Here is a 12299-nt window from a genome sequence, read left to right on the forward strand (position 1 = left end):
AAAAATAAATTATTCTTACAGCCTCCTGATTTACAAATAATTCCAATTTTCTACCTTTGGGCAGATTCCTATTTCTAGAATAAGGTCCATCTGGATTCTAAATCAGTGTCTACCTAGTTACTACGTAAAATTCTACCCAGTAGCTAACACAAGACAAGGAGGCCTTTGCCATTCTCTTAGAACATACGGAGTCTTGGCTCCACTGAGGACCATCAAAGCTAGAGTGAGAACACATCACTGGATACAAGTTCAGAAAGACCCCCTTTGACTCCTCAGTGCTGGCCGGACACCTGAATGATGGTGCTTTTCTGTAGAGGCTAGACCTGTGTCCAGAGCAAGCCTGCTCCCAAGACCAGCAACTCCATTCTGACCATATTCCCAGGTCAGCAGAGGGCTGATCCCTGGGGATGAACCTGGCGCCCAAGGCAGGGACAGTCGCAACCCAGCCCCCATTCAACAACTGCAGATGCTTCTTAAAGGACTTGCTGAGGAGGCAAATGCACAGGACACTGAAACAGAAGGAGCCACTTAGGAGATAACCCTGAGTGGTCCCTAGATGGGCTGCATGCTAGTTACCAGGCTGGAGCTGCAGACCCCAAATCTTAGCCTTTTCTTCCTCAAAAGGTCCATCTCAACTCTTACCTAACTCAAAAAGCCTTCCCTAAATACCTAACTGGCAGTAACCTCTCTCTTTCTTCTGTGAACATTTCTGTTTTAATACACATTATAGCTACTTGTGCATTTGCATTTTACCTCCTAAGTTTCTTGTGGGCAGGGCCTTTTTTGTAAGAAATTATTTATCTTTGGCTTTTCTTTGCGATGTCTTGCATATGTGTGCTCAAAAATTATTTCAGTTAGTTTCAATTAGAAGTGTCAAATAATTTCAAGTAGAAGTGTCAAACAAAAGCCTTAAACTGCATGAGACTGTAAACTTTACCACGTAAGCTTGAAGGAATTAAAGAAAATAAAAACCAGATTATATTTTCTTAAAATAGGAAAGTAAAGTATTTCATAAAGATCAAGTATTTCTTATGAACCTTTCTTAAGAGAAAGGCTGTTTTGAAGGAGCCACGATTCATTCTTCCAGACCCCCAGGCTGGCATAACCACACTAAATACACATAAGATTCTAAAGTACTATGGCGCCCCCTAAAGGGCCCACACATCAATGTAGAATTGTATTTACCCCCAACAAGTCTGCCCAAAATTTTACTGAAAAAACCCCAACTTAATCAACATCAGAATCAAACCTTAACAGGGAAATCACCACCCTTTGTCAGCTCTGGCTTCAAACTAAAAGACTGCATACCGAATGTTGCAAAGCTGCTTAGAAGATCTCTGCTTATTCTAAGACAGGACATTTGGCTTAAATTTACTTCTTTGAAATAGCAGTAATTTTTAAAAAGGCAGAGCCAAAGAGAAAAGAATAGGGGGAAAAAACCTAAATCACAAACATCTTTCTACAAATATACAGTCTAGGGAGTTTAAGTGCCAATTTTTATGCTGCAGAGATTCACATTTACAAAGTATTCGTATAAAAGAGAAAAAAATATATAAAACTAAAATTGGCCACAGTTCAAGGTGGTAAGTTCTGATTAATTCCTTTCTTCCCGCTTCACCTATTCATTTGCTCAAAAAAGCAACTACTATGTGTCAAGGCAAAGGGAATATTCCATTGAAAAAGTGTGAAGCTTATATTCAGCTCAGGATGACTGGCAGTCATTTTATATAAAAGATATGTCTGTTTTAAGTGCTATGAGAAGCTTCTGTTATAAGCTGTGATAAGTGCAATGGAGACTCAAATCATCAGACCCCAAGTCATCTCCTCTACGATGGCAAAAGATTAGCAATTTACTAACCAGATTCTTAATTCTCACCACTAAGAGTAGTTATAAGGCACTTTGTAGAAACAGAAAAATTAAGCAAAAGTTGGCACGTAGGTGGTGAGCTCCCCAGCCCTCCTGCCCTGCTTGCCTCCCACAACACAGACAGCAAGTCTTACTCTCCCAAAGGCAGAAGAAGACATGATTCCTCAGTAGGGAAACTGATCAAACCATGAGAAAAGTGAGCAGATGCTGGCATATGAGAATCTTCTAATGAAGTGGCTGCATCCCCTCCTGATCATCCTATAGTAAACAGCTGAGAAGCTAGAGATTTACAATTGGCATTTTAGTGCATCACTCTTAAATATGGACAATCAAGGATCAACAGACATTTCAGGAAGCCGGAAAAAACAACAACAGAGAAAAAGAAAGTAGGAGGAAATAAATAATACAAGATATAGAAGAAATTTTCAAACAAAACAACAGCAACAAAAAAACAAGGCTAAACATCCAGAGTGAATATCCTTAGACATAAGAGAAAATATGAAATCCATGAAATAAGGCAAGAAGCTATTTTTAAAAACTGTTTTAAATATTCAGAGAAAAGAGATCTAAAGTAATTTTTATGTAACCCAGTAGAAATAAAGATTTCAACAAAAAGGTTTAAGGATAAAGCGAATAAAAACCTAGAAGGGAGAACAAAAGGCCCAAGAGATTAAAAAAAAAAAGAGAGAGAAAATAGAAGGAAATTAGAGGATCAGTCCAGAAAGTTCAAAAATCTGAATAATAAATGCTCCAGAGAGAATGAACACTTGAAATACTTTGGGAAGAAAGAAGTGATAAAAGGAGTAATATAATAAAATGTCCCAGAACAAAAGTTGATAAAATAAAAGGGCTCATATGAAATGAGAAGATTTCATGCCAAAATCCATTAAATAAGGATAAAAAGGGACACAAGGTTTCCAAAAATAAATGGAAAAACAGGTTCTATACAAAAGGTTGGGAATCAAAATAGCACTGGATTCCACAGAAATTCTGGAAGCTGGAAATCAATAAATGCTCACAGAAATCTGAGGAAACATTATTTCCAAACTAGAAATCTGTACTTAACAAAACAATACATAAGAATAAAGAAAAATGGCCAGGCACAGTGGCTTATGCCTGTAATCCCAGCACTTTGGGAGGCCAGAGTGGGCCAGGAGTTGGAGACCAGCCTGGCCAACATGGTGAAACCCCGTCTCTACTAAAAAAAAATACAAAAAATCAGCCGGGCTTGGTGGCACGCACCTGTAATCCCAGCTACTCAGGAGGCTGAGGCACGAGAATCTCTTGAACCCAGGAGGCAGAGGTTGCAGTGAGCCAACATTGCACCACTGCACTCCAGCATGGGTGACAGAGCAAGACTCTATCACAAAAAAAAAAAAAAAAAAGGTTAAAATAAAAATAAAGGCATTTTCAGACATGTTGTTTCTAAAACAATATTACCTCTGATGTGCCCTTTCTCAGAAAATTGGTGGAAAATATTATAGCTCCACCAAAATGAGCAGATAAACCAAAAAAGTGAGAGTCATGGGCTCCGTCAAAGGGAGGGGAGAAGGGAACGTGCAGTGTGAGGTGAAGACAAGTCCTGACACCACCGCTGGGTGGCAGAACTAGAACAGACCAGGAACGGGGACGACCCCAGGAGAAATGTCTGAGGAAAAAAGAATGAATCTAATAGAATGTCCAATGTGCTCACATGGATCAAAAGGAGAATCTCAGTTCTGTTTGAATCTGGGACTGAATTAGTTATAGATAATTACAAAGCTAAGCAAATGAAAAGGCAAGAAAGGAAATGTCACTATAGAATGGTCCAAGTGTGCATAATATTAATATGAGCACTAAACCTGATTTAACTAAAGAGATGGGAGGAGTACACAGGGAATGGGGAACAGATATGAGTCTTAATGTTTTTGTTTTGAAACAAGTCTTACTCTATTGCCCAGGCTGGAGTGCAGTGGCGCAATCTTGGCTCACTGCAGCCTCGACGTCCTAGGCTCAAACTATCTGATATGGTTCGGATCTGTGTCCCCATGCAAATCTCAGGTCCAACTACAATCCCCAATGTTGGAGGAGGGACCTGGTGGGAGGTCACTGGATCATGGGGGTGGATTTCCCTCTTGCTATTCTCGTGATACTGAGTGAGTTCTCACGAGATCTGGTTGTTTAAAAGTGTGTGGCACCTCCCCTCTCTCTCTTCCTCCTGCTCCGACCACGTAAGACGTACCTGCTTTCCCTTTACCTAAGACTGTAAGTTTCCTGAGGCCTCCCCAGAAGCAGCAGACTGTACAGCCTGTGGAACTGTGAGCAAATTAAACCTCTTTTACGTGTAAATTACCCAATCTCAGGCATTTATTTATAGTAATGCAAGAACGGACTAATACACTATCCTTCCACCTTAGCCTCCTGAGTAGCTGGAACAATTCTAATTTTGCTTATTTTTTTGTAGGGAAAGGGTCTTGCTATGTTGCCTAGGCTGGTCTCGAACTCCTGGGCTCAATCAATCCTCCTGCCATGGCCTCCCAAAGTACTGGGATTACAGGTGTGAGACACCATGGCTGGCCTTAAATTTTTATTTTTTTATTTTTAATTTTAATTTTTTTTTTTTTTAGATATTGGTTCTCGCTCTGTCACCCAGGTCGAAATGCAGTACTACAATCATGGCTCACTGCAGCCTCAACCTCCCTGGCTCAAATGATCCTCCCACCTCAGCCTCCTGAGTAGCTGGAACTACAAGCATGTGCCACCATGCCTGGCTAATTTTTAAATTTTTTGTAGAGACAGGGTTTTGTTATGTTGCCCAGGCTGGTCTTGAACTCCTGGCCTCAAGTGATCTTCTTGCCTAGGCCTCCCAAAGTGCTGGGATTACAGGCATGAGCCACACTGTGCCTGGCCTGGTCTTAAATTTTATCTTCCACGGTAGAAAGTCAATAAATAATTTCTAAATCTTAAAAAAAAAAAAAGCAGTATAAACATGTTAGTTAAAATAAATGGCTACCTCTAGGGAGTAGGAATTGGGAATGGGAGAGATGAGGCAAAGGATTGATATTGGACTCTAAAACTGTGTGACATACTTCTTTGATAAAAATGTGCTGGAAATGGCTGGGTACAATGGCTCATGCCTATAATCTCAGCACCTGGGAGGCTGAGGAGGGAGGATCACTTGAGGCCAGGAGTTTGACACCAGCCTGGGCGACATAGTGAGACTCCATCTCTACAAAAAAATTAAAAATTAGCTAGGTGTGGTGGCACATGCCTGTAGGCCCAGCTACTCAGGTGGCTGAGGCAGGAGGATTGCTTGAGCCTGAGAGTTTGAGGATGCAGTTAGCCACGATTGTACCACTGCACTCCAGCCTGGATGGCAGAGTGAGGCCCTGTCTCTATAGAGAAAAAATCTGGTAGAAATTTAAACTTTAAGAAAATAAAGTGAGGGAAAAGAGGAAGGAAAGAAGGAATATTTGCCTGGAGAATCTCAAGGTCATCAGAAACCAGCTAGGCACTCTACCCAACAAACATTGTTGATTGGTGAAAACGAGTGTGAGCTGAAGAGTAGAAAGAAAATCAGAAAAGCAGTAAACATTAGAGGTTCAAATTGGGACATGTAGGATACTGACCTTTGTTCTGTTTTCTTCGGCAAAGCCAGGTGTGTCTGTGTCTGGTGGGTAAGCAACTGTGATGTAGACATTATATGGCTTCACCTGCATTTCAAAACAACACGTGTACCTTCAGTAAACAAGACACACTGAGGTCCTACACTGCCAACCTGCACTGGCTGCCCTGATTCCCAAAAAGCGGTGAGAACAATGGGGTGATTCTGTTAGGCGGGGAACTACACCAATTGCATTGAGAAACCCCTCTCCATGATGATTCCAGAATGTAGGCAAAAAGCTCACCCTAACCTGGACCCCAGAAAACAGCTGGCCCTAAAGTATGGCAAGTCACCTCCTTTGCAGTGTCTTCCACTCCTGCTGCCCAGACAGAGGCCCTGGGAGCCGTCCGACGAGGGCAGTGTTTTAAAAAGAGTCCAGTTCCCACACGCACTGCACAGCATCCAAGCCCTTTATCAAGGCAATGGGACCAGTCTGCCCCTCCTTTCTTCACCAGACTGTACATCTGTTTTTCCTTCAGACTGCTTCTGATACTCTTGTGTTGATTTCATCCACAAAATACATTGGGGTCATTAAAATCTGCTGCCCTATCCCTTTCTTGTGCCCTACTCCAAACCCAGTCCAGAACTGTCCCTGAGAAGTCTGCTTATTCCAGAGCTCCCTGTATAACCGGCCTCTGCACATTAGGAGGTCAAGAGTCACTTCCTCCTCCACTGAACCAACAAGAACCACTGGGTAGAACCTCCAAGTCAGACCAGCCAAGTACCTCCCCTGTGGACAACCTCAACCTGCATTCACATAGGGAAAGCCCTCTGCCTTATCTGAAACTCTATGTGGCTCCTCTAAATCTGACACTTGGAGCAGGTTGTTACACTTGTGTGCCTCACCACCATGCCTGCACACTTCACGCTTCACGACCCCACTCATACACACACCCCCAACAATTCCAGCAGATTCTTCTGCTGTTGGCCAGGACACCCCCTCCCACAGACTGCTCAGCCACAGCCCTGCTGCACATGCTTATCTTGCCCTGCTAATTAGCAACTCTAAGAGCAATGGTTCCTACCATGAAAATCTCTTTGCCATGATTTTTATTTGGTATTGGCTCACTTTTTTGTCCCTAGGAAACACCTAAGGGATCTGGAAGTGGAGAGGCAGCTGATAGATCAGCCACTGCACATCTTCAGAAGGGTACCCTAGGCTAAAAATCAACACCACTGCCTAATGTGACGGCCTTTAAGAGTAGCCCAGGGGCCGGGGGCAGTGGCTCACACCTGTAATCCCAACATTTTGGGAGGCCGAGGGGAGGGGGTGGATCACCTGAGGTCAGGAGTTCGAGACCAGTCTGGCTAACATGGTGAAACCCTGTCTTTAGTAAACATGCAAAAATTAGCTGGGTGTGGTGGCGGGTGCCTATAATCCCAACTACTTGGGAGGCTGAGGCAGGAGAATTGCTTGAGCCCAGGAGGCGGAAGTTGCAGTGAGTTGAGATCGTGCCACTGTACTCCAGCCTGGGTGACAAGAGGGAGACTCCATCCCAAAAAAAAAAACAACAAAAAAACAACAAAAAAATAAAAACAGTAGCCCAGAGTCTCATCTTATGCAGCCCTTTTTCGCCCTGGTTCCTTCAGTGAAGCACAGTTTTGAGGGCTTTAAGGGGAGCTTCAAGGGGAAGGAGAAGCACGCACAGGCCTGCAAGCAGAAGATCCAGGCCAGCCATCCTGGAAAGTGCAGTCGTGAAAGTGAGATGTCTTTGTGGGTTCCATTCCAGCACAATTAGGGTGTGGGACAGCCCATCCACCGGGCATTGCCAGGGCATGCAGCTTCACGGCCCAGCCATGCTCATAAATAGCTCTGGATCGGGGCCAGGTAGTAAGGCAGATGAGCCAGAAACTCGCTTCCACTTGTTTTTGAGATAGTGACTTATAAAAACCTTGTCTCCCCCAGCCTTGCCCTCTGCTGTGCATAGACCAGAGAAAAACACCACAAAAAATCCAACGAGTGGTCATTAGGCAGCCCACATAAAGACTGACATCGACTGCCCAGAAACTCACGTCTGTGCTGCCCCTCTGCCTTCTCTCTCATGGTAAAGAAGGATGCTGGCTCCAAAGCTAATGGAAGACAGGATTTCAGAGCAGTGCTTCTCAAACTCAAGGTTACGGCTGCATTGCCAAAGGTTAAAACAGAGCTTTTCAGAACAGCTTCCTCATGAGGAAGGAACACAGATAGCTGGGGTTGGGAGAAACCAGTCCAGTCGCTTCCTAGATTGGTATTCTCGCTATGCCATCCAACCAAATGACTCTCCCAGTCTCTGGCTGGATACCTCCAGTGGCTAGTCACCTCACCATTTACATATTATTTTATTTATTCATGCAACAACGAGCACTTACTGAATTACTTCTACATGCCAGTATCGTTCTAAGAACAAAGCATAAGGTTAAGATTCTAGTTTCCTGAAACTCTTGGTCAAATAATTTGCTAAAATCTGAATATACTAAACCACATCTACATCTTCTTTTAATCTACCAATCTCATAACCCTGTCATAAAAAAAAATGAGGGTAGGCTGGCTTTACTTGTTCTTATGAGACAATGCTAGCTCCCTGAGATCACCACTCTTTCTAAGAATGGATGAGCCAGGTCCTCACTAACTGAGTCCCCTGCTGCCCGGCCACTGCTTCTCCTCATCCCTGTTGCCTGACCATTCTCTGTGCCCCCGACTCTGCCCCACATCCATCCTACTATTACTTCTTCCCTTCTCCCTGGCCTCAACCTCAAACAGAAAGACAACTGACCACTTGTTCAAGAACCGATTTGTGGGCCGGGTGCAGTGGCTCACATATGTAATCCCAGCACTTTGGGAGGCCGAGGCAGGCAGATCACCTGAGTTCAAGACCAGCCTGGCCAACATGGTGAAACCCCATCTCTACTAAAAATACAAAAATTAGCCGGGCATGGTGGTGGGCACCTGTAATCCCACCCACTTGGGAGGCTGAGCCAGGAGAATCGCTTGAACCAGGGAGGCAGAGGTTTCAGTGAACCGAGATCACACAACTGCACTCCAGCCTGGGCCACAGAGTGAGACTCCATCTCAAAAAAAAAAAAAAAAAAAAAAAAGAACAGATTTGTTATTAAAATAATCCACATAGGATGTGCTGTTCCCTATTCCATCAAAACAAAGACAGGGGATGCTGGAAAGAAGATCACAGCTGTTTACATGAAACTCCAGAATTCAAGCTTTAGCTTACTTTCAGACCACAGAAGGAAGAGATGGGAGGAGAGGGGCATGATCAGGGTAAGAAAAGCAGAAAAGGGAGCATCAGTTTGTTTTTTTTGGGCTTGGTCTCTGCTACCACATCTTTAGCTATAACCCACCTCAGAAGTCTGCTTTCCAAAAGAGTAACTTTTAAAATCTTTACCTTTCTTCCTAAAAGACTGAGTAAAAAAAAAAGACTAAAAAATGCCAACAAAGCATTCTTTTAAAATTACTCATAGTACCCTTAACAATGCCAGGGTCCTACCTTAGTTTGGGGGCAAAGGGAGGTGGACAGGGAGACTTCAAAGTTAATTAAACCAAAGAATTGTCAAAAATATTTACAGGCCAGACACAGTGGCTCACACCTCCTGTAATCCCAGAACTTTGGGAGGCCAAGGCAGGTGGATCACCTGAGTCCAGGAGATCAAGACCAGCCCAGGCAACATAGCGAGCGAGACCCCATGTCTACAAAAAATAAATAAATAAAAAATAAACAAAAAAACGGTGAGGCATGGTAGTACACACTTGTAGTCCCAGCTACTTGGGAGGCTGAGGTGGGAGGACTGCTTGGGCCCAGGAAGTGGAGGCTACAGTGAGCCAAGATCAAACCACTGCACTCCAGCCTCGGCAACAAAGCAAGACTCTGTCTTCAGAAAATAAAAATTAAAAAAAAAAAAAAAAGTATCTGGAGTTTGAGCAATTACATAAGATTTCATTGACAGAAAACACACCTACCTTGACCAAATTATCCAGGTTTCAAAAAAAATGCTACTATAATTACTGTAGGGACACAATAATTGGTTTGATGCAAGTTCTACTACGAACAAACTACATTTTGATGACTGCGTTCGTTTTCCCCAGAACCTATTTTTCATGGGATAAGTTCATTTTATTTTCTTTTTTTTAAGTGAGGGTATTTTTAATAGAGTCCAAATAAGGACAGAAGTCATACAGACTTGAGCGTGCAGGCCGGCTACTCGCAGTATGCAAATCACACTTGTCACAGAGGTTGGGGGGCTCTGTCTGTACCAGCAATCCACTTTCTTTTTCCTCTTTTTTAGCATCTCTGTTCTACTTGAAGTGAAACCAGGCCACCCAGATTATATACTTTGCTCTAAATTAGTGAATGCTGACACAGCTCTGCAAAAAGCCCTAATGGGCAGATTCTTCATCCCGCAACCACCCCTTCACCTACAAGGATTCTAAAACCAAAGTAAAGGGCCGGGGCAACTAGCCAGGTGAAGCAACTAGCTGGATGCATCATCTGCTGCAAAAGGGCAGCAGACCTGGGGTCAAGGCTTGGATCGTGTTGTGATTTCTGTCACTAAGTAACTATGTGACTTTGAGCAACACACTGAATTTACTGAAAACTGGGTTTTCCTCTCATCAGGTGGCATCACAACATCTCCCTCACATACTTTACAAAACTTTATAAAATGGTGGCTGGGTGTGCTGGCTCACACCTGTAATCCCAGCACTTTGGGAGGCTAAAGCCAGAAGATTGTTTGAGCTTAGGCGTTTGAGACCAGCTTTGGCAACACAGTGAGACCCCTTCTCTACAAAAAATTTTAAAAATTAGCCAGGCATGGTAGTGTGCACTTGTGGTCTTAGCTACTTGGGAGGCTGAGACAGGAGGATCACTTGAGCCAAGGAGCTCAGGGCTGCAGTGAGCTATGATTGTGCCACTGCGCTCCAGCCTGGGCAACAAAGAGAGACGCTGTCTCTAAAAAAAAATAATAAAATAAAAATAAATAAAACAGTTATTCACAAAAGGACTTTTCAAAGTTAAAAACTTCAAAAGAAACACCAGTATTCTTGTTTGAAATTTCACAGACATCAGTGTCCTATTGGCTAAGCATATTATCACGATATATTATTAAGAGTATTAGGCCAGTTGATAACAATAAAATCTGTGGCTGGTTCCTATGGTATGAGAATGGCATGATCTATCAGTCCCTACGCGGCACATCAGGACTGTCGCTGTCCCAGCAGCTCATCTGTACTGCAACGCTCGTCCCATATCTCACCAATGTGGTGCTCTATCACACACCATCAAGGTCTCTTATGGGGTCTTCTAAACAGGGGTCAGCAAATTATGGCCTATGAGCCAGATCTGGCCCTCTGCCTGTTTTTTATAAGTAAAGTTTTATTGGAACACAGTGACAATTGTTCATTTACACATTGTCTAGTAAGGCTGCTTTCCTGCTATCATAGCCTACTTAAGTAGCTGTATTAGGCACCATTCAGCCTTTAAAACCTAACATATATACTGTCTGCCCTTTGGTGAAAGTTCTGTCAACCCCTGATCTAAATCATCAACCAGGATTCCCAAAAGCACACTCTTACTATAAGAGGGTTGGCCACAGTGAATACTCTTCTGGGCTCTTAACATTTTAGGCATCCACTGGGGGTCTTAGCTCACATCCCTTGCGGATAAGAGGGGATGACTGTACACAGCAATAGAAAGAACTTTCCCTTGCCTTTTTCAGCATGTGATTTTTGGGTAGATACGTATGTGATGCTCTCTAAGCATTCCTGTGTGACAATAATGTGGAAGTCGGCTTCAAGCAGCTGAGGTGTAAAGTTGCACTCATCATGACAGACGCTATTTTGATGCAAATCCTAACTACATCCTTCTTCCACAAAATGTTCCATTAACTATGTAAATAAAAAGCATTCATTTTCCCAACAATTCTTTAAGATATAAAAATATAAATATTGGGAGAGTCAAATTATTGCTTTATTCCAACCCTCCCATTTTACAGATGAGGAAACTGAGAGCAAGTTAAATGACTTGTCTAAAAGCTAAAAATTAGCAGCTGATTCAAGCTCTTCCCTCAAACATATACTAATTTCACGTATTATTCAGTCATAAGGACAAACTTCTTGTTAAAGAAAAATCTCTATAAAATAAAATATCTGGTTAACCTTACTCACATTCACACAGTATTAGACTAATAACACTATGAAGATATCACTAATATTTTGTGTATTAAGTTAAACAAGCAAAAATCCCATTACCATTTTGCATCTGTCGTTAACTATAGTCTTCATGCAATGAAAAATGTTAACTGCAAAACTCAGGGTTGAGCCAATTCTCTTTCACCAATGTCAAACCTAAAAATCTCTAATTTAATACAACAACACATGTAAAGAAGCTATAAAACTAAAGCGGAATGTATATTGCTGAGCGGAGAGGAATAAATACAAAAATGAATACAACTTTTACCTCCATCTGCAAAGCTTCTGCCAATCCCCTTATGGCAAACTTGGATGCAGAGTAGGCTGTGAAACCGAATAATCCCAACTGTCCTGCCTGGGAGGACACAAACACGATCCTGCCCACCCGGCGCTCCTTCATGGTGGTGATCACGGCCCGGCTGGGGTACACGCTGCCCAGGTAATTGATGCTCATTAACCTCTGCAGGGAACAAAGAGGCCACATGAGGTCAAAAGCCTCAAGGCTGTGCACATGGAGAATTTAGTCTGCTTTCTGGATTTCAGTTCTTCAATGCAAGCTCAAGTGACTGGGAAGCCCAACAGGCTTGCTGAATGAATGAATGATGACATGATGA

The 12299-nt window shown here is 42.9% G+C and overlaps 1 protein-coding gene across 1 annotated transcript in view; it reads right to left on the reverse strand.

The window, feature by feature from the left end:
- Window positions 1-12299, reverse strand: part of KDSR (3-ketodihydrosphingosine reductase) — a 39481-nt gene that overhangs the window by 11209 nt on the left and 15973 nt on the right. Inside the window, exons 6-7 of the mRNA NM_002035.4 lie at window positions 11954-12145; window positions 5476-5559 (exon numbers count right to left, since the gene is read on the reverse strand). Coding sequence (NP_002026.1) covers window positions 5476-5559; window positions 11954-12145 — 276 coding nt within the window. The remainder of the gene's footprint in view (window positions 1-5475; window positions 5560-11953; window positions 12146-12299) is intronic.

This window comes from Homo sapiens, chromosome 18 (genome assembly GCF_000001405.40).
Source record: "Homo sapiens chromosome 18, GRCh38.p14 Primary Assembly".
Lineage (NCBI taxonomy): Eukaryota > Metazoa > Chordata > Mammalia > Primates > Hominidae > Homo > Homo sapiens.